Genomic DNA, 22,839 nt, shown 5'->3' with positions numbered 1-22,839 from the left:
ATGACCTTTTCTGTATCTCTGTCTTCACATGCCTTTTTTATGAGGATACCGGTTGGATTTAGGGCCCACTCTAATTCAGAAGGACCTCATCTTAACTTGATCATATCTGCAGTGCTCTTATTTCTAAATAAGGTCACATTCATAGATTCCAGGTGGACATGAATTTTAGGGGGACAGTAGTTATATACTGTGCATCACAACACTTAGAACCAAGTAAGTTGGGTTTGCTTCACATTAATAGTCTTAACTATAAAAATATTTTGGATTTTTATTTTTATTTATTTGTTGTTTTTTTTTTAAACAGAGTCTCACTTTGTCACCCAGGCTGGAGTGCAGTCGTGTGATCTCAGCTCACTGTAGTCTCCACCTCCCAGGTTCAAGCGATTCTCCTGCCTCAGCCTCCTGAGTAGCTGGGAGTACAGGTGCCTACTATCATGTCTGGCTATTTTTTTTTTTTTTTAATAGAGACAGGGTTTCACCATGTTGGCCAGGATGGTCTCGATCTCCTGACCTCGTGATCTGCCCACCTCAGCCTTCCAAAGTGCTGGGATTACAGGCGTGAGCCACTGTGCCCAGCCAGATTTTGGATTTTTATAGTGCCATTATTTTGTATTTTCGAAGTGCAATGTAGGACTAAGCATCTCTGTTCAACTTCCTTTTACTAACAGTCGCCTACTGGGGCAATGCAGCCACTGTTAGAGAGAAAATTCTGCTCCATTCCTAAAAGAGCCTCTACTCATGAATCTGAAGCTGGGAAGAGCTCTGCAGAGATGCAAATGAGCTGTTGAGGGAGATAGCGTGAACATTTCTGCTGGCCACCACTGGGTACCACCACGTGTGTGTGTGTGTGTGTGTGTGTGTGTGTGTGTGTGTGTGTGTGTGTTTGTGTGTGTATGTATAGGAGGGTGGTGAAGGACAGAAAGACAAAGAGGCAGAGACAGACACCTTCCTGCCAAGCCTTACTAAGGTTGGGGGGGTTTCCCTACTGATCTTTTTCTACGCTTCAGCTCAGCCATCTTTTGTACCTTCCATGGAGCTCACCAGACTAGGAAAAGGTGGGGTCTTGCTGAAGAAATCAATAGTGATCAATACATTTGCTGGAAGAACCCATATTAGCCAAGTATAATTAACAATCTAGACCTGCACTGTCCAGTATAGTAGCCACTAGCCATATGTGGCTACGTGTATTTCAATTTAAATTAATTAAAACTAAGTAAAATTTAAAATTTGGTCCCTCGGTTGCACTAGCCTCATTTCTAATGCTTAGTAGCCACATGTGGCTAGTAGCTACCATTTTGGATCATATAGAATAGAACATTTTTATCATTGCAGAAAGTTCTATCAGATGACACTAATCTAGACTTTCATTTATAATAAGCTGAAAATGAAATATGATTAGATATTGTGAAGATAATTAACGGATTCAAAACAAAGGGCCCCTCCCAAAAGTTAACATAGAAACAAAATAACTTTTTAGCTCCTGGGTGATCACAAGAAACTTAAAAAGAGGAAGAAAAAAAGAAAATAACTTTTTAAATTTCATATTATCATTGAAATTCAAGGAGATATTCCAAATAAACAAGAATAATATGTTTTTTTTTTTTTTTTTTTTTTTGAGACAGAGTCTCACCCTGTCACCCAGGCTAGAGTGCAATGATGTGATCTCAGCTCACTGCAACCTCCAACGCCCAGGGTTCAAATGATTCTCCTGCCTCAGCCCCCCTAGTAGTTTGGATTACAGGTGCCCGCCACCACGCCCAACTAATTTTTGTATTTTTAGTAGAGACGGGGTTTCCCCATGTTAGCCAGGCTGGTCTCGAACTCCTGACCTCGTCATCCGCTTGCCTCAGCCTCTTAAAGCGCTGAGATTACAGGCGTCAGCCACTGTGCCCAGCCAAGAATAATCTCTTTAATAAGGGAAGCAATGTTAAAACAAGAAAGATTCCTTGGAAATTAAAACAAAGTGCTTATCAAAATTAAAAGTTCTGAGTCAGTAATTATCAGGCTAAATATAGCCAAAAACCTTATTTGTGAATTGAAAGTCAGGCTAAAGGAATTCTCCAGGCAATAAGGCAAATATGAGGGAAAAGAATCATGAAATGTCAAGAATGAGAGGAAAAAAAATAAAATTTTAAAAACTGTAGAGTAGATTTTCATTAGCTTTCTCCTAGCTCAAGTATCACTTTTTAATTAAATCTCATCATAACATCAACAGTTATATACTCTTAACTCACCGCTGTTTCTTGTATACCATGTCTTCTTCTGATTTCATTTTGTTTTCTATTTGGCTCAAGTGTTTCCTTCAGTATTTTTTTTTTTTTGAGAAAGGTTATATGGACGGTATATTTCCAGAGTCTTTTCAGCTCTGAAAGTATCTTTTTTTTTTTTTTTTTTTTAAGAATGAATCTCACTCTGTTGTCCAGGCTGGAGTGCAGTGGTGCTATCTCGGCTCACTACAACCTCCACTTCCTGGGTTCAAGTGAGTCTCCTGACTCAGCCTCCCAAGTAGTCGGGATTACAGGCATGTGCCACGGCGCCCAGCTAATTTTTTTGGTATTATTAGTAAAGATGGGGTTTTGCCATGTTGGCCAGGCTGGTCTCAAACTTCTGACCTCAAGTGATCCCACCTCCTCAGCCTCCCAAAATGCTGGGATTACAAGCATGAGCCACTACGCCCGGCTATCATCTCTGAAAATATCTTTTTTTTTTTTTTTTTTTTTTTTTTTTTCAGATGGAGTCTCGCTTTGTTGCCAGGCTAGAGTGCAGTGGCGTGATCTTGGCTCATGGCAACTTCCGATTCCCTGGTTCAAGCAATTCTCCTGCCTCAGCCTCCCAAGTAGCTGGGATTACAGGCATGTGCCACCATGCCCAGCTAATTTTTGTATTTTTAGTAGAGGCGGGTTTTCACCATGTTGGCCAGGATGGTCTCGATCTCCTGACCTCATGATCCGCCCACCTCAGCCTCCCAAAGTGCTGGGATTACAGGGGTGATCCCACCATGCCCGGCCTGAAGATACCTTTGTTGTGACATAATATCCCTACAGTTGTTTGGCTTGATGTACAATACTAATTGTAATGCCATAATTTTTTCCTCTCAGAGTGTGTAAATACTATTCCATTCTCTTCCAGCAGTCAGAGTTCCAGAAAAGATGTTTGATCCTAGTTTGATTCTCTTTCCTTAGAATTCTGAAATTTAATCAGTCCATGTCTACATGTCTGTTTTCTTATTAATTCTTTCTTGAATTCAGTGGACTCTTACGATCTTTCTTCAATTTAGGACCATTTTCTTCTCTTTTTTCTACTTGTCTATTCTGTAAACTAATCCTTTTTCATATTATATATAGGTCATATGTATATATCTACATACACACACACACACACACACACACAGATGGTCATCTAAGGAGAAATGACCATCTGTGTGTGTGTGCGCGTGTGCATGTATTTTCACGACCTTGCACGGATGCCAAAATCCGCAGATGCTCAAGTCCCTTTTATAAGATGACGTAGTATTTGCACATTGCTCATCCTCCCATATACTTTAAATAACCTTCAGATTATTTATAATACCTAATACAGTGTAAATACTATGTAAATAGTTGTTATACTGTATTATTTAGGAAATAATGACAAGGGGAAAAAGGCCTGTACATGTCCAGTACAGATACAGTTATCCATTTTTTTCCCCAAATATTTTCGATCCATGGTTGATTGAATCCACAGATGCAGAACCCATAGATCTGGAGGACTAACTGTGTGTGCATGTGCATATATATATTTCTTGGAAGGTTACATTGACAATATATTTCCATATCCATATAACAGAGTTGTGTGTGTGTATGTGTATGTATATATATATTTATTTATATATATATAAAACGGTATACATTTTCTTCCTGCTTATCCTTTCACTGTTTTATATGAAGAGAAGTTTTAGATTTTTTTTTTTTTTTTTTTGAGCCAGAATCTCGCTCTGTTGCCCAGGCTGGAGTGCAGTGGCCTGATCTCAGCTCACTGCAACCTCCACCTCCTGGGTTCAAGCAATTCTCCAGCCTTAGCCTCCTAGTAGCTGGGACTACAGGTGTGCACCACCATGCCCAGCTAATTTTTGTATTTTTAGTAGAGACAGGGTTTCACTATGTTGGCCAGGCTGGTCTCGAACTCCTGACCACGTGATCCGCCCGCCTTGGCCTCCCAAAGTGCTGGGATTACAGGCGTGAGCCACCACGCCCAGCCAGAAGTTTTAGATTTTAATGTTTATATTTTCCTTTAGGAATCCAAATTTATATTTTCCCTTAGGACTTAAAGGTCATAGAGTTATACTCAAGTGTTATTTTCTAGAAGTTTTAATATTTTTCTTTTCTTTTTTTGAGACAGTGTCTCACTCTCACCCAGGCTGGAGTGCAGTGGCGTGATCACAGCTCACTGCAGCCTCGATCTTCCCAGCTGAGGCAATCCTCCCACCTCAGCCTTCCAAGTCACTGGGACTATGGGAGCGCACCACCACACCTGGCTAATTTTTGTATTTTTTGTAGAGACAGAATTTCTCCATGTTGCCCAGGCTGGTCTCGAACTCCTGGACTCAAGCAGTCTGCCCACCTTGGCCTCCCAAAGTGCTAGAATTATAAACATGAGCCACCGTGCCTGGCCACATTTTGCTTTTCACACTTGTCTTTAATTCATCTGGAATTGATTTCTTTCTGTATAATGTTTGAAAGAGATCTAATTTCCATATGGCAAAATAGGGGCCCAGCCCAGCACCATTTATTCAGCAGTCCATTTCTGCAGTGCCACCACTGATACGTGAAGTTTTTGTGTATGTATAGGTCTGTATCTTAGCTCTCTATTCTTTTTTTTTCTGCTTCTAATATATAGCTGTTCAGCCTAGCTCTCTATTCTGTTAACTGGTTTGTTTGTCTATCCCTCACCCAGTACCAAACTCCCTTAGCTTTATCCTTCAGAAGTTTTTTTTTGTTTTTGTTTTTGTTTTGTTTTTTTTTTTTTGAGACAGAGTCTCACTCTGTAGCCCAGGCTGGAGTGCAGTGGTGCATCTCCGCTCACTGCAAGCTCTGCCTCCTGGGTTCATGCCATTCTCCTGCCTCAGCCTCCCAAGTAGCTGGGACTACAGGCACCCGCCACCACGCCTGGCTAATTTTTTTTTTTTTTTTTTTTTTTTTTTTTTTTAGTAGAGACGGGATTTCACCATGTTAACCAGGATGGTCTCAATCTGCTGACCTCGTGATCCGCCCGCCTGGGCCTCCCACAGTGCTGGGATTACAGGTGTGAGCCACCACACCCGGCCGAGGTGTTTTAATTTTTCTTTCTTTCTTACATAGGTTTTTAAATTAGTTTTGACAAGTTCACAAAAGAATCTTGTTGATATCTTTATTTGCATTAAATTGAATATATCAGTTTGGGGAGAACTTATATCTATATGATGATGTCTTCCTATCCAGAAACTTCATCTCTCTCTCTCTTCATTGTTTAGATCTCCTTAATGCTTTTCAGTAACATTTCTAATTGTCTTTATAAGAGTCTTGCATATCTTTGGTGTGTTTATTTCTAAGTGTCTTGTATTGTTTTTTTACTCTTGGAAGTAATATATCTTTTAGTGACATTTTCCGTGTTGGTGGTATGTAGAGATACACTTGATTTTTGTATAGTAATCTTAGAAGATCTACTTACTAGATTCTAATTAAAGCTGATAATTTACTATGAATCTTTGTTATCTGTGAAGATAATCTAATCATCTGCAAATAGTGGTAGTTCTAATTCTTTCTAATCCTTACACCTTTTGTTTTTCTCATTTTATTTTGTCAGAACTTCCAGAACAGCAACAAATAGAGAATAATGTAGTGGACATCCTTGTATTCTTTCTGATTTTAAAAATGTGCCAAGAGTTTTACCTTAAATCATACTTGGTTGTTGATTTTTATCAAATGTCTTTTCTGCATGTGAGATAATATGGTTGTTCCCATTTTATTTGTTTATATGGCCAAGTACGTGGTATGAACTATTCTTGAATTCCTGGAATAAACTCAGTTTGTTTATGGTGTGTTATATTTTAATACATTGCTAGATTTGGTTTGCAAACATATTGTTTTGGATTTTTAAATGTATGTTCATGTGTGAGATTGTACTTTTCCTTTCTCATGCTTTTCTTTGGTATTGGTATCAAGGTTACAGTACTCTCATCAAATGAGCTGTGGAGTATAGACAACTTTTTATTCTCAGGAGGAATTTGTGTAAGCACGGAATTGGTTATTTTTAAGTTTTGCAGAACTTGTCTAAGACAAAACCACCTGGGCCTGATGTGTTCTTTTTGTAATGGTTATAGGACTCTTCAAGATTTGTGTTTCTTTTTAAATCAGTGTTGTTAGGACATTTTTCTAGGAATGTGTCCATTTTATGTAAATTTGCTAATGTATTGACATAAATATTTTCATAATTGTATTAGTCATTTTTGCATTGCTATAAAGAAATACCCAAGACCGGGTAATTTAAAAAGAAGAGAGGTTTAATTGGCTCACAGTTCTGCAAGCTATACAAGAAGCATAGCAGCTTTTGCTTCTGGGGAGGCCTCAGGAAGCTTACAATCATGGCAGAAGGCAAAGGAGGAGCCAGCACTTCACATGGGCAGAGCAGGAGGAAGGGGTGGAGGGAAGTGCTACATACTTTTAAACAAACAGATCCCGTGAGAACTCACTCACTATACTGTACCAAGGAGATCATGACCAACCATTCATGAGAACTCTACCCCCATGATCCAGTCATCTCCCACCAGGCCCCTCCTTCAACACTGAGGATTACAATTCGACATGAGATTTGGTGGGGACACAGATCTAAACCCTATCAATAATATTCTCTTGTTAATATTGTAATTTGTGCTGTAGCTGTAGTTTGTGCCCTCTTCCAGTCCTAATTTTGCTTGTTTGAAGCCAGACATTTGTCAATTTTAATATTCATTTTTTTGTTGTTTGAGGCAAGGTTGGATGTGTTGTCTGTAAGTAACATGTAGCTGGACTTTTTGTAAAACTCTAATCTGACATTGTGAGCAGAGAATGTGTTCTTGTAAAAGAAGTTCCTTGGTATTTGTTGAGACTTACTTTGTAGCCTAGTATGTTTGAGTTTGAGTACATTTTCTGTGCTTAAAAAGAAATTATATTCCCCATTGTTTGTTGCAGAGTTCTGTGTATGTCCATAATGTTTACTGCATTGTTCAAGTCATCTTCTATATCTTTATAAATTGTTTTGACTTCTTGATCTATTCAGTAAGAGAGAGGCATGGGCTGAGTGCTGTGGCTCATACCTATAATCCTAACGCTGTGGGAGGCCAAGGCAGGAGGATTGCTTGAACCCAGGAGTTTGAGGTTACAGTGAGCTATGATCATGCCACTGCACTCAAGCCTGGGTGACAGAGTGAGACTCCATCTCTAAAAACAAACAAACAAAAAAAACAAAAATCCCAAAAAACAGAGACAGGTATGTAAAAATTGTGATTGTGAATTGGTCTTTTTTCTTTGTATTTGTTAGCTTTCTGTACATATTTTTGCATTCTAGTTCAAATTTGATTCTACGTAGTGAATTATTTTTAATCATTATGAAGCTCAAATTTGATTCTACATAGTGAATTATTTTTAATCATTATGAAGCTCAAATTTGATTCTATGTAGTGAATTATTTTTAATCATTTATGAAGTGACCCATTTTATCCCTAATAATGCTTTTTTTAAAAAAAAATCTATTTTATCTAACATTAACATAGAAATACCAGCTTCCTTTTGGTTAGTGTTTGCATGGTATGTATTTTCCCACCTCTTTATTTTCACTTTTTTGTGTGTGTTATTGCATTTTTTATGTGTCTTTTATAAATGACATATAGCAGAATTTTAAAAATTCAGAACTGGGAATTGTCTTCTAACTAGCATGTTTGGTACATATACATTTGTTGTGATTACTGATGCGTTAGATTTCTTTCTCCTATTTTATTTTGTCCTTTTTACTTAGACCTTTTTCTTGGAATCTTTTTGTTTTTCCTCCTTGGGCTGCTTTCTGTTTGTGTTAATGAAGATGTCTTTATTCCCCGCTTCTCCTTTCATTTGGAAATGGAAATTATACTATTCTCTTAGACATTACTCTTTTTTTTTTTTTTTTTCGAGATGCAGTCTTGCTCTGGTGCCCAAGCAGGAGTGCAGTGGTGCGATCTTGTCTCAGTACAACCTGTGTCTCCCGGGTTCAGCTGATTCTCCTGCTTCAGCCTCTGAGTAGCTGAGATTACAGGCACGTGCCACCACACCTGAGTCATTTTTGTATATTTAGTAGAGACAGGGTCTCAACATGTTGCCCAGGCTGGTCTCGAACTCCTGACCTCAAATGATCCACCTGCCTCGGCCTCCCAAAGTGGTGGGATTACAGGTGTGAGCCACTGCGCCTGGCCCCTTACACATTATTCGTAAATTGTTAACATGAGTAACTAGTTAAAGGAAAAAATATAATATCTCCATCCTCCTCCTGAAAAACAAACCTTTTATTTTTATTTTATTTTTTTCTCATTCTTGCTGTCATCTTAAACAAGGTGTTGAGAATGTTTTAACTGTGAGCACTCCTTCTCCTCTTACATATTATTGTGTAGTATTTTGGTTCTAATTTGTGTTTATACCACCTAAATTAGTTATCATTATTATTGCTTTATACAGTTGTGCTTATTTAGATGTATATTTATATGGCATTTTCTTTCTTACCCTTGCTTCTTGTATCCTACTTGTTTTTTTGGATTCAGTGTGTTTCTTTCAGAGGTATGTATTTCATTCGTTCCTTCATGGAAGTTCTGCAAGTGATGACTTTTCATGTTTTTGTTTGTTTACCTGAAAATATGTCTTGGTTTTGTCCTTCCTTTGATTAGAATTCTAGTTTTCCTTCATGACAAAGTTTAGCATTCACAAACTTATTTAACAAATATTTATTGAATACCTACTAAGTGTTAGGAATACAGTAGTAAATAAAACAGAAAAATCTCTGCCCTTATGGAGGCTACATTCTAGTGGCGGGATAATAAACCAGATAATTAGGTAAAATTTATAATGCGTTAGTGAAAACTTGTTAAGAAGAGGAATAAAGCAAGGCAAGGGAATAGGAAGATTCAGAGGGTTAAAGGGGGGTTGTAATTTTAGGTAGTGACCAGGAAAGGTGTGTTTAGATGAAGACCTGAAGGAGGTGAGATGTTAAGCCATCTGGGGAAAGAGAATTCTGGGAGAGGAAGCAGTAACTGCAAAGAAGGCCCTGAGGTGGGGCCGTGCCTGGCATGTTTGTAAAATAGCGAGAGTCCATGTAGCCAAAGCGAAGGAAGCAGGCGAGTAGGATCTGAGGTCATAGAGGTTAAGGTAAGGATGTTAGGCTTAGGTCTTTTAAGACCTTGTTGTTCATTTGTTGGCTTGGATGGCTTTTTCCAGTGAGTGAAATGGGGAGCCATTGGGAGGCTTTAGGTAGAGGAGGGACATGATCTGACAGAATCACTTTAGTCGCTGACTAAACTGAAGGGGAGAAGGGCAAAAGCAGGGAGAGGGGTTTAGAGGCTATTGCAGTGCTCCAAATGAGAGATCAGCATGGCTTAGACTGGGAGTGGATGCGGGAGAAGGAAGTCAGATTCTCAATATATTTTGAAGTCAGAGCTGATAGGATTTACTGGCAGATAAGATGTAGGGTGTGAGAGAATGAGGAGGAGTGGAAGATGGCACCCAGGTTTTTGGCCTGAGCCACTGGAAGAATGGAGTTGCCACTTAACACAGAGAAGGTTAGAGGGGTCATCAGGAGGGGTAATTGTGGGTTATCTGTAAACATACGAGAGAAGATGTAGATAATACAATGGGATCTATGAGTCTGAGGTTCAGAAGGGAAGTCTGGTCTATAATATAGATTTTGGAGTCTTCTGTGTATAGGTGATGGTAGGTAAAACAAGAAACTAGATAAGATTACCCAGGGAGTAGGCCAGGCACAGTGGCTGATGCCTGTAATCTCAACTACTAAGGAGGCTGAGGCAGGAGAATTGCTTGAACCCAGGAGGCGGAGGTTGCAGGAAGTGGAGATCACACCACTGCACTTCAGCCTGGGTGACACAGTGAGACCCCGTCTCCAAAAAAAAAAAAAAAAAAAATTACCCAGGGATTGATTGATAGAAAATAGAAGAAGACTAACAACTGGGCCTTAGGGCCTTCTATTAATAAATTTCAGATATAGGGGAGCTGTTATTGTCTTGGAAATATCAGCTATCAATTTGTTTTTTGTAGGCTTTTCTCCTCCCCATCCTTTAGAGGCCCTGAAATCCCAGCCCTTAGGTGTCTGGAATAATTATGTCATCCTCCTCAAACCTTCATGTCACAGGCTGCCTGTTCCCTTTTCATTTTCTTCTTGTTTGTGGCAATTAGGGACTTCCGTTTCCTTCTTCCTGGTTCAGATTAAATTGTATTTTTGTTATATTTCTGACAGCATTTAAAACTGTTTATAGAAGGAGGGTTATAAAGCTAGTTTATATTGCTATTCTATCAGAACCAAAGTCAAATTCATTTTCTAATGAAAGTCAGAGTTTTGAGGTACTCTTGGTGTGGATGCCTATTCTGCACCATTTGTGTAAATAGCACCCCTCTCTCCCCCAATTTTCCTCACTTTTTAAATAATGCACTATAATTGTGTAAGTTGCAATTTCCTGGCTATAGAAAACACTCCTGTGGTTACAGGCCTTGAACTATCTCTCTATAATTTAATTTTTTTCGGACTTCTTAAGTGAACCAGAAAATCTGGATCATTTTAAAGCATTAATAGTAACTGCACTTTGTGCTTTGGCAGAAGATCTCATCCATATCGCTCGGAACGCTTCAGGAATAAAAGGGCATCGATTCACACTTGGTTCTGGTGAGAAGCCAAAATCCACATTTTCAACACAGGCTTGCTCCTCCAAAAACACAGAGAGCTTCCCAGAAATCAGAAGATACAAATTAGAAATGTTAATCACTTATAGTTATATAAGTAACAGGAAATTTCTGTCATTTGGTTAATAACTTATTCTGATATGGAATTATCCAATAAATTTCTAAATGTTTTTGCTAGTTTGTAGAAAAAAATTTTATTTTTATTTTATTTTATTTTTTTGGGACGGGATCTCTCTTTGTCACCCAGGCTGGAGTGCAGTGGCTCAATCATGGCTCACTGCAGCCTCCACCTCCTGGGTTCAAGTGATCCTCCTGTCTCAGCCCCCCAAGTAGCTGGGACTATAGACGTGCACCACCACACTGGGCTAATTTTTGATATTTTGTAGTAACAGGGTCTCATTATGTTGCCCAGGCTGGTCTCAAACTCTTGAGCTCAAATGATCTGCCTGCTTCAGCTTCCCAAAAGTGCTGGAATTACAGGCATGAGCCTGTATTTTTTACCTTGCCCTTATTTTTTGCCTGGCCCTTATTTTTTATTTTTTAATAATTTTTTTTTGAGGCAGGGTCTCACTCTGTCACCCAGATTGGAGTGCAGTGGTGCGATCTCGACTCACTGCAACCTCTGGCTCCTAAGCTCAAGCAATTCTCCCACCTCAGTCTCCTGAGTAGCTGGGACTACAGGTGCACACCACTCACACCAGGCTAATTTCTTGTATTTTTGGTAGAGACGGGGTTTTGCCATGTGGCCCAGACTGGTCGCGAACTCCTGAACTCAAGCAATCTGCCCATTTTCACCTCCCAACGTGCTGGGATTACAGGTGTGAGCCACTGTGCTTGCCCCCATATTTTTTAAATGTTTATTTATTTATCTTTTTGTAATTATAACCTTTCATAGCCCTCATGCAAGAAAAAAATTAATGTTGGTATTTACCTATTTATGCTAGATATTAATATACAGCAGATTTTAAGCTAAATTTTAAACTAGTATAATTTTATTAATTGAATGTTAGAGGTGGCCTGCATTTCTTGCACAAATTCTTCATTCAAATTTCTTCTGATTCTTCTGAATCAGTGTATATTTTAATGGTGTATAATATTTTAGGTGCCTAATTCACCTTATTTATAATTACACAAGAGTAAAGGCAAATAATACTCCTGGTTTAATAACTTTTTAACTCTACTCTTCAGCCTGTCTTTCTCTGAGTAGTTTAAGTAGCTTTTTAATAAGAAACAGGCTTCCTTGACTAACAACTGAAATTAGAAAGGCAAAGAGTGGAGAGCTAAGAAAAAAAAAAAGGATATTTGACTGTGAAATTACTTATATGAAAAAAAAATACCTTGAAAAGCCTACCAAAGAAAAAGTAATTTCCACTGGGATTAGTTCTAAAGTAAAGAGTAGTAAAGTAATACCTTCCAGCAAAAATTGGAGAGTAACCTTTCCAAATAGAGCCAATTACCAGAGCCCTATGAAGGTAAATGAAAACTCAAATCAGAACGTTCTTCCTGGAGAGCAATAGGCCATGTTTCAGCAGGGACATCCACCCCTCCAAGGCGTGGAAGGAAATGAGGCTCAGGGCATTGCAGTGTGGATTTTGGTTCATTCTTTTATTTGCTTCTGAATCTGAGCCTTGTTTCTTAACTGCCTCCCTTGGCAACCAACTATTACTCCTTGTAACTTCTGTTACAGCATGAGTTGGCCCCTTTTCACATTACTGAAGAAAAAAGCTCGGTGACATATGAATAAAACATTTTTTAACCTGCATTTAAAAAAATATAGAGTTTTTCATATATAAAACAACAATAGAAGTTGCTGAAAACTGATTTGAAGGGTTAAAAGTCAGAGCCAACTTTCAGGCCACTTAATTAGATTTCCCACTACTCTGTAAGTAGGCTTATGTTTTCCCAATAAACATTATTTATTTGCTAATTCAATCAAAAAATACAAAATGAGTGCTGATTCTATACAAGACACTGTGTTTAGTGGAAATTTCAGCAAATCTTTATTGAATATGCCCCATAATTAACTGTGGCAGGACTATGAGTGGTTATTTTTCTGTTGCTTTGCTCTTTTCTGTTCATTCCAAATTTTATTTATTGTTTATGTTTTCTCTTAAAGAGTCAGGATCTTGCTGTGTTGCCCAGGCAGGAATATAGTGGTATGATCATAGCTCACTGCAACCTCGAACTCCTGGGCTCAAGTGATTCTCCTGCCTCAGCTTCCCAAGTAGCTAGAACTATAGGAATGCACCACCACACCTGGCTTTTTTATTTTTTGTAGAGATGGGGTCTTGCTATGTTGCCCAGGCTGGTCTTGAACTCCTGGTCTCAAGCAATTCTCCTACCTGAGCTTCCCGAAGCTCTGGGATTACAGGCGTGACTCACCATGCCTGGCCTGTTGGTTTCTTAATTTTAAAACTTTGGACAATACAGAAATATGCAAAAAAACAGGCCAGGCACTGTGGCTCACACCTGTAATCCCAGCACTTTGGGAGGCCAAGGCGGGCAGATCAGCTGAGGTCAGGAGTTCAAAACCAGCCTGGCCAACATGGTGAAACCCCGTGTCTACCAAAAATACAAAAATTAGCTGGGCGTGGTGGTGGGCGCCTGTAATCCCAGTTACTTGGGAGGCTGAGGCCAGGAGAATCACTTGAACCAGGAGGCAGAGGTTGCAGTGAGCCGAGATCACGCCACTGCACTCCAACCTGGGTGACAAGAGCGAAACTCCATCTAAAAAAAAATAAATAAATATACAAAGTAAACAGTGAAAGTTTCCTGTCACTATCCCAGTTCCACTCTCTAGAAGTAACCACTGTACCAGTTTGAGTTATATCCTGCCAGTGCTTTTTTTCCCCTTCTGTTACATGTATACATATAACAAAGTATGAATTATATATACACACATACATATAACCCTAGAGACAGTGTTGGGTGTTTTTTGGAAGGAGCAGGTTATGGCTAGTTTATAAATCACATCCTATATATTGTCTGCAACTTTTAAAAAAAATTTAATTCTGTACCTTGATAACTTTCCATGTTGGTTCATACAGGCATGTCGTTATGTTATGTTATGTTATGTTATGTTATGTTATGTTATGTTATGTTATGTTATGTTATGTTTTTTTGTGAGACAGGGTTTCACTCTGTCGCCCAGGCTGGAGTGCAGTGCAGCAATCTCAGGTTGCCCAGGCTGGTCTCGAACTTCTGGGCTCAAGCTATCCACCCACCTCAGCCTCCCAAAGTGTTGAGATTACAGGCGTAAGCCACTGCGCCTAGACTGCTTTTTACTTTAAAATGATTGTAAACTATAGTATTGTTATACCATTTCCTATCATTTTCAGTTTTTCACTAAATGCTGTAGTATTATTTTATTCTGTAAGTTATTTTAAAAAGTACATTTTATACACATTCTGCAAGCACTTTTATAACTTTCCAATTTTACTGCAATAAATATGGGAAATAAAGAAGCCCAAATTAAATAACTTGCTGACATTAAAGGGCTTGTCAACCCTTGCCCACTCTAGCATTCTGCTAGATCAGCAGTCCTCAACCTTTTTGGCACCAGGGACCAGGTTCATGGAAGACGGTTTTTCCACAGATGGTGGAGGATGGTTTCAGGATGAAACTGTTTCACCTCAGATCATCAGGCGTTAGTTAGATTCTCTTAAGGAGTGCACAGCCTAGATCCCTTGCATGCACAGTTCACAATAGGGTTCGCACTTCTAAGAGAATCTGATGCTGCTGCTGATCTGATAGGAGGCAGAGCTCAGGTGGTAATGCTGGCTCACCTGCCACTCACCTGCTGCCGTGCAGCCCGGTTCCTAACAGGCCACAGACTGCTACTGATTCACAGCCTGATGGTTGGAGACTCCTGTGCTAGATTGTTGATTGAATTCCTATTCTGAAGTACACCTAGAAGTTAGGAGTATAAATATATGGTGTAGAAACCAGTGTAATAGATATTCCAAACTATTTTTGTTGTGGCCACTATGCCCTCTATTCATATTTTTCAATAATTTACTCAAGCCAGCAATACTGAGTATACTGAGTATATACTAATAGAATTAGTATAATAATATAATACTAATTAGTATAATAATATAATACTAATTCTATTAGTATACTATTCTATTAGTATACTAATTATTAGTATACTATTCTATTAGTATACTAATTATTAGTATACCATTCTATTAGTATATTAATTCTATTACTATGCCATTCTATTAGTATACTAATTCTATTAGTATGCCATTCTATTAGTATATTAATTCTATTAGTATGCCATTCTATTAGTATACTAATTCTATTAGTATGCCATTCTATTAGTATATAGTATGCTAATTCTATTAGTATATAGTATGCTAATTCTATTAGTATATAGTATGCTAATTCTATTAGTATATAGTATGCTAATTCTATTAGTATACCATTCTGTTAGTATACTATTATACTAATTCTATTAATATACTAATACAGTATGCTAATACTATACAATTAGTATACTAATACAATGTATACATTGCAGTACATTTGCAATGTATATGCAAACTCTACACATACTACTGATTTGGACTCTAGTCTTCTTTAAATCACATTGATATCCCTGGCTGTCCACATTTAGCTTCCTAAAACACTGCTTTGCACAAATAACCTATTATTCCAACATTGTCAATGGTTTCCTTAAAATGAAAAAGTATACTTGGAGCCAAAAGCCAATGTCCATTACATTCTTTCTCTCTAAAATCAGAACCAAAAGAAGAGTATCTGCCATTAGTCATACTGTGTTTTGTTTTGGCCCTCCACCTAAGTCGAAATAAGAGGTATAAACATTGAAAAAGAAGAAATAAAGTAATATATGCTATAAATAATTATATCTAGAAACAAAATCAACAAAAGACTATCAAGTAATACAAGTTCAGAAAAGTATCAGATTCAAGCCAAATATGCAAAACTCAATCACTTCCTTATATGCTAGCTTTAACTGTTAGAAAAATAATGAAGAAAGAGACCTAAAATATTAAACACTGGGAAAGGAGCTTGAATAAAAGGAAATGATCAATATGGGCCCAATAGTGAAATCTTATTGAGACATTAAATATGGTAAAAATAAATACAGAAGCATGTTCCTGATGTTTAAAAACTTAACAAAGATTTTCAGTTTTCCCAAATTTATAATGCAGTAGGTGTCAGAATCCTAATGCTTTTTTTAAAAAAAAAATACTTTGTTTATTCAGCAATAAATATTTGCTTTCCATTTGCCAGGCAATATTATAGATAGTTGGGATACACAAGTGAACAAAAAACACAAAAAAATGTCTGCCATCATGGAGCTCACTCCACTTGACCTGGATGAGAAGACAGTAATACCAGACATAGTGAAGAAGAAAATAGTAAAGTCTGTTAGAAGGTGATCAGTGCTGTGGGGGCAGATTGCACAGGGATGGGGAACTGGGAATTTTGATGGGGTGGAAAAGTTGTGATTGCTCTTAGGACCTTGAAGGCGATGGGGACTCCTGAGAGAAGAGTGTTTCAAGCAGAGGGAAAAGTCTCTGGAAAAGCCATAGAGAGGAATATTCCTGGATGTTGGTGCAATAGCAGGTAATCCTGGTCCCTGGAGGAGAGTGAGTGGAAGGAGAGACACTGAAGAGGAGATGGGAGGAGTGGGCAAAGACCAGATAATTTAGGACCTTGTAAGCCCTTTTAAAAACTTCCTCTCTTAATCTGAGGAAAATAGAGACCTGTTGGAAAGTTTTGCTTGGAGGAGTGACACAATCATACTGTTTTACACAGGTCACTCGTGTGGCTGTGTTACAAATACACCAAAAGCAAAACCAAGGAAATCAGTTAGGAGGTTGTTGCAGAAATCCCAGCAAGAGATAATGTGGCTTGCATCAGGAGGGCCAGGAGTAAGGGAAAATAGTTGGATTCTGGATGTTTTTGAAAGTGGAGTTAACAGAATTTCATGGCAGAAAACAGAGGAATCAAACATGACTACAAAGCTGTTCTGAGCAATTGTAAGAATGGGATTGCCATCACCAACCCTGGGATGTCTGAAAGGGGAGCATCCCGATCTCCAAGGGTCTTTAAAGTGTTGCCTAGAGGAACCTGGAAACTCCCTGGGATTTAGAGGGACTTCCCAGAACCACTTTGCACAGATTCAAAACCGTTTCCTAAACTCTACACACTTGTGCACTCTCTCTCCCTCCTTCCCTGTCTCCCTTCCTCCCTCATTCCCTTCTCCCTCTCCCCTCCTTCTCTCTCTTCTTCCTCTCCTCTCTCTTCAACCCTCTCTTTCTCTCTCCTCTCTCCCCCTCCTCGCTCCTTCTCCTTTCCTTCTACTTCTTTTCCTTCTCCTCTCTACCTTCCTCTTTCCTCTCCTTCCCCTAAAAGGTCCTTGAAGCTTCAGAAATGGACCAGGCGGGCCCCTCCAAGTGTTGAAGGACTTATATTTTCTTTCCTCTGCAATGTCACTCCCTCATCCTGCCACCAGGTGGCAGTGCACTGCTGATCATTTAGCCGCTGACCTGCACTAGTTCTCAGTAGAGGCGGTAGAGAGCTGAACATAGAGCCTGCAGTCGGCCTTTTAATGCCTCATTCTTTAATGTGAAGTAGGGCTTCTCATCCTCGTCACTATTGACATTTTGGGACAGACAAATCTTCATTGTAGGGGAATGTCCTGTGTGTTACAGGATGTTAGCAGCATCCCTGGCCTTTATCCACCAGATGCCAAGAGTGCTCCCCCAACCCCCACCACCAGTTATGGCAACCCAAAATGTCTCCAGACCTTATAACGTGTGTATGGGGGGCCTCCCCTCCCATCGCCCTTGAGAATCAGTAGTTGAATCAACATCTACAGAATATCAGACATTTGAGGAAAGCCTCTAAAGAGAAAACTAACGAAAGGAACTAGAGAAAAGGGCATTTCAGTGGCAGTGGGGAGTTTAAACGAAAACAATTATGTTCGAAGAAATGAGAGGGCATTATTTCATTAAAACAAGAATGAGACCTATTTTTTAAAAAACTAAGAACAAAAAAAACCCCTTGGCTATTAAAATTTTGATTTCAGCAATAAAAATTCAATGAAAGATTGGAAGATCACATTGAAGAACTCAAGAAAAAGATTAAAAGCATAAGGAAAACGTAAAAAACAGTAGAGAAAGGCAAGAAAATTAGACAACCAAACTGGATGTTGCAAGTCCATTATTCAGAAGGAACAAGGAAATGGGAAAAGTTCAAAATGAAACAAAATTATGACCCAGGGAAATTTCCAAAACAGAAGGACCCGACTTTTAAAATAAAAGGACTATCCTGAGTCCAGTGAAAGTGTAGTCACAAGACACGTCATGTACAGTTTCAGAACTAACGATGAAGAGAAGATACTAAAAACTTCCAGAAAGAACAAGAAAAGGAATCACATTTGAGGTTTCAGAAGTACAGTGGAGCAGTGTCTCAAATGGATTCCTCATGTACCCTCCCACAGAGGGTGTGCCCCACCAAAACAAGGGGCACCCAAAAGGGAGACTCAGTTCCAGGGATCTGGGCCTCAGTCCAGGAGAGAAGGGAAGGGAATTCTCAGGACAGCAGTGAAGGGAGTTCCAGTGTGAAGACTTCATAGGTGGTCCTAGAGAACAAACAGTTGGGAACAGAGCAAAGTGACAGAGAACTCCAGAAGACATGGTGCCAAGAAAGTAACAGGAATGATAAATAACGCGAAGAGTCTGACGAAACTGAGAAGACCAGAAGAACTTTCAAACTGTGTGTATGTGTGTGTGTGTGTGTGTGTGTATGTTTAAATCAAAGATAAGCAAAGGACAATGAGTGCTTTGAATGCAGAGGAGGGAGAGATCTCTGTGAGATAGAGTGTTGGGGTGGGGGCTTCTTCAAAAGAGTAGGGAGATATTGGTTGATTTTTGGTTTTGTCTTTGAATATTTTTCTGTATTTTCTAAAGTTACAATTAGAAAACAGCTATTTTTTAGAAACAAAACTAAGAAGAGATACAAGCCCCAGTGGGAGTAAAAACCTACTAATATGAAATATTTATTTTTTTATAAATATCTAAATAAATATTTTCTACAGAAATAATCCAAACACATACCACAAGCACCAATATTTTGAGGCTCATATCCTTTTATTTTGGAAGTACAAAAGTTTTGCTGCTAGTGTAATAAATAGGGATTCTTTTGGTTTGCATTCTTTTTTTGGTTTTGCATTTTCTGTTTATATAAGAATCAGTGGCAGTTTGGTGGTTGCAGGATTTATCAACCAGCTCTTCTAAAATTAACATGACATTCTTCCACTGAACACCACCTACTGTTTTCCACAAGGTGGGGTGCTAACTTCGCACAGTGGACTGAGACTGTGTACAGCTTGCTGAGATGTCTACATTGAGTGTATTTGTTGTTACTTTCCACAGTTCCTAAGCAGTTCTTTTTTCCCTTTCTTTTTTTTTCTTTCTTTCTTTTTTTTTTTTTTTAAAGAGACGGGGTCTCACTGTCTGCCCAGGCTGGGGTGCAGTGGTGCAATCATAGCTCACTGCATCTTTGAATTCCTGGGCTCAAGCAGTCCTGCCTCAGCCTCCCAAGTAACTGGAACTACAGGTAAGGCCCATCACACCCAGCTAATTTTTTAATTTTTGTTTTTGTAAAGATGGGGTCTTGCTGTGTTGCCTACGCTAGTCTCCTTCTGCCTTGGCCTCCCAATCAGTTCTGAAAGAAATGTTTGTAACTGTATAGTTTAAACTGTGGGGTTTTATTTAAGTTTGTCAACTGTAATGTATATTACAACTGGTGGCTTAACATAGTTATGGTTTTGAGTGTGTATAATGTATATGTGCACTTTTCCTCATTCATATGGACCTTAACTTACTGAATTATAGGTAAAGGTAAAAAAAAATCTCTAATTTGAAAGGAGGCCGGTCTAAATGAGCAAAATATTTGAATAAGAAAATATTTGTAATTTACTGCAAATAGAGATTCTGATGTGGCCATTTCAGTGAATAGATTCTTATTTTTGAAATAGTATATCAGGTAGATATATACATGCTTTTAAAGTATTTTAAACAGCTTAATCTCTTAAATTCCTCCCCAAATCTCAATTATTCCTTCCTCTATCTCTAGACCTAAAGCCAGTCAGGTTAAACTTTCTTTAAATCATGTTCTGAACAGATGAAATTAAAATAGCTGTGAATAACATAGTGCCGTTATTTCAACCTTGTGGTAATTTAACCAATTTCCCAGTGCCAGTTAAATTTGTATTGTATGGGATTCTTACAACATGAAGAGCAGTAACATTTTATAATATAGTACTGTTGTTTCTCCATTTCAAAGCAAATTTATGGCATTCTAATCACCAATGTTTGGTTTTAAAAACATAAATAGCACAATTAAAAAAAAAATCTATACCTTTGAGTACAAACATACAATTTATTTTGTGCTGTTATAAAATCAGGACATGGCCTGTTTTGGAATTCCCTACGTCCTTCCTTTTGTACAAATGGAGGCTGTTAGATCCTTCCAGCCTTTAGGCCCAAGGAAATAATTCTGGTAGTTGCAGTCACACCACGGACAGCATAATTCTAAGCTCTGCATGTGGCCAGGCTGTGACTAGAGATGTACTTACAGTTTTAGTCAGGTTTGACCAAGCAGGTGAGCATGGCAAGGAAGTAAAAGGGAAACAATGGGTGCCGAGGGATACTCCCTTGTCCTTCAAATACCTGGTAGATGCTCACTTTATGGTGCTTATGAAATGTCATGAAGCAACATATGAGTAAGGGAGCTGTGGGTCCTGCTAATAACCAGCTCTGTCACCTTGTGTGAATCAACCCCTCTGGGCCTTAGTCTTCTACTGTGAAATAAGGAGGCCTGGCTGAGATTAGGAATCTTATTTATTTATTTATTTATTTATTTATTTATTTATTTTGAGACAGGGTCTCACTCTGTCACCCAGGCTGGAGTGCAGTGGTTCAATCTTGGCTCACTACAACCTCTTCCTCCCAGGCTTAAGCTATCCACCCACCTCAACCTCCCCAGTAGTTGGGACCACAGGTGCGAGCCACCACACCTGGCTAATATTGTATTTTTTGTAGAGATAGGGTTTTGCCGTGTTGCCCAGCCTGGTCTTGAACTCCTGAGGTCAAGTGATCCGCCCACCTCGGCCTCCCAAAGTGTTGAGATTACAGGCGTGAGTCACTGCACCCGGCAGAGATCTCACACCTGGCTTTCAAGTCTGACTTGTCAACGTCAAGCGAGGCTTCTGCTCCAGGCTGTGTTTCTCCAGGGCCTGTCAGCATCAGTCCAGCATCCAGATTCCTGAATATTATCTTCCTAGATTCCCAGTTGTCTTCCTCCGTCCACTTGCCTGCTAGGTCTACCCATTGCTTCAGTTATAGTACAAACTCCTGTCTGTCCCATTTCAACCTAAAATACCTGTGTATGTTTTCTAATATTGATATATTTTATACTTAAAGAGTATTTTACCAACTCAAAATTATGCTCCAAACAAGACCACAGTGAATCATGATGTGCTGTCAGCCTGTTTCCGCTCTTGCTATTTGCTCCCCAGGTCATGACAGTACCGTTCACCCTAGGTAAAAACCTGAGAGTTATCCCAAACTCTCCAGCGTCCTAAATCTCCCTTCTCACTGCTTGTCATCTCCATTCCTCTACCTTAGTGCTGCTGCTGGCCGTCAGGCCTTCAGCATCATTCTTCTGATGTATTTCAGTGATCTCCCCAATGATTGCCCTTCTCTGGTCGTGCCCTCTCCCCTTCTGTCCATTCTCTTCATAATTACTAGACTGGTATTTCTTGAATGCATTTCTGCTCCCATTATTCCGCTCCAACTCCATTTTCTGTTGTTCCCTATGTTGCTTCTTACGTACCAAAATACAGTTCCCCAGATATTCCATGCTATTTCATGTCTCTCAGCTCTGAACACGCTGCTTCCTCTGGCAAGAAGACCCTTCACCAACCACACCCACACTATTATACTTAGAAAATTTTATATCCTGCACAAGTTAGATCAGGAATCTCTTCATGAAGCCTGATTTACCTTATCAAAGAATAATGTATTGGCTGGGCGTGGTGGCTCACGCCTGTAATCCCAACAATTTGGGAGGCCAAGGTGGGAAGATCATTTGAACCCAGGAATTCCAGACCAGCCTGGGCAACATAGGAAGACCCCGTCTTTAGAAAAAGTTTTTTTAAAATCAGCAAGATGTGATGGGGCATGCCTGTAGTCCTGGCTACCCAGAAGGCCAAGGTGGGAGAATCGCTTGAGCCCAGGAGGTCAAGGATGCAGTGAGTCATGATCATGCCGCTGCTCTCCAGCCTGGGCAAGAGAGGGAGACCCTGTCTCAAAAAAAAAAAAAAAAAAAACCTTATAGTTTATCACTTTGTTTTTTTTTTTTTTTGAGGTGAAGTTTTGTTCTTGTTGCCCAGGCTGGAGTGCAGTGGTGCAATCTTGGCTCACTGCAACCTCCACCTCCCAGATTTAAACAATTATTTTGCCTCAGCCTCCCAGGTAGCTGGGATTACAAGTGCCCATGACCACACCTGGCTAATTTGTTTTTTGGGGTTTTTGTTTGTTTGTTTGTTTGTTGTTTTTGAGATGGAGTCTCACTCTGTCACCAGACTAGAGTGCAGTGTCACGATCTTGGCTCACTGCAACTTCCTCCTCCTGGGTTTAAGCAATTCTCCTGCCTCAGCCTCCCAAGTAGCTGGGACTACAGGCACGTGCTACCATACCCAGCTAATTTTTGTATTTTTAGTAGAGACAAGGTTTTACTATGTTGGCCAGGATGGTCTCAAAACTCCTGACCTCAGGTGATCCAAACACCTCGGCCTCCCAAAGTGCTGGGATTACAGGCATTACAGGCGTAAGCCACCGCGCGTGGCCAATTTTTTGTATTTTTAGTAGAG

General features: G+C 39.3%; 1 protein-coding gene across 5 annotated transcripts in view, besides 2 other annotated features; it reads left to right on the top strand.

Annotated features, from left to right (window-relative positions):
• ALG14 (ALG14 UDP-N-acetylglucosaminyltransferase subunit) overlaps nucleotides 1-22,839 on the top strand; it is a 98,547-nt gene that overhangs the window by 11,939 nt on the left and 63,769 nt on the right. The window contains exon 3 of one of the 5 annotated variants that reach the window (XR_001737025.2): nucleotides 19,401-19,520. The exons of the other annotated variants lie outside the window; for them this stretch is intronic. The gene's annotated coding sequence lies outside the window, so the exon portion shown is untranslated. The remainder of the gene's footprint in view (nucleotides 1-19,400; nucleotides 19,521-22,839) is intronic. 5 annotated transcript variants of the gene reach the window in all.
• Nucleotides 16,628-17,236: an enhancer, noted in NCBI's record as "H3K4me1 hESC enhancer chr1:95509333-95509941 (GRCh37/hg19 assembly coordinates)". NCBI's record gives its function as "activates a minimal SCP1, AML or CMV promoter by ChIP-STARR-seq in primed H9 embryonic stem cells {active_cell/tissue: H9 hESC(primed)}" and the evidence as "EXISTENCE:reporter gene assay evidence [ECO:0000049][PMID:30033119]".
• Nucleotides 17,237-17,845: an enhancer, noted in NCBI's record as "NANOG-H3K4me1 hESC enhancer chr1:95508724-95509332 (GRCh37/hg19 assembly coordinates)". NCBI's record gives its function as "activates a minimal SCP1, AML or CMV promoter by ChIP-STARR-seq in primed H9 embryonic stem cells {active_cell/tissue: H9 hESC(primed)}" and the evidence as "EXISTENCE:reporter gene assay evidence [ECO:0000049][PMID:30033119]".

This window comes from Homo sapiens, chromosome 1 (genome assembly GCF_000001405.40).
Source record: "Homo sapiens chromosome 1, GRCh38.p14 Primary Assembly".
In the NCBI taxonomy this organism is placed as follows: Eukaryota; Metazoa; Chordata; class Mammalia; order Primates; family Hominidae; genus Homo; species Homo sapiens.
The sequence above is the reverse complement of the archived record's forward strand: the minus strand, read 5'-3'. Positions and strand labels throughout refer to the sequence as shown.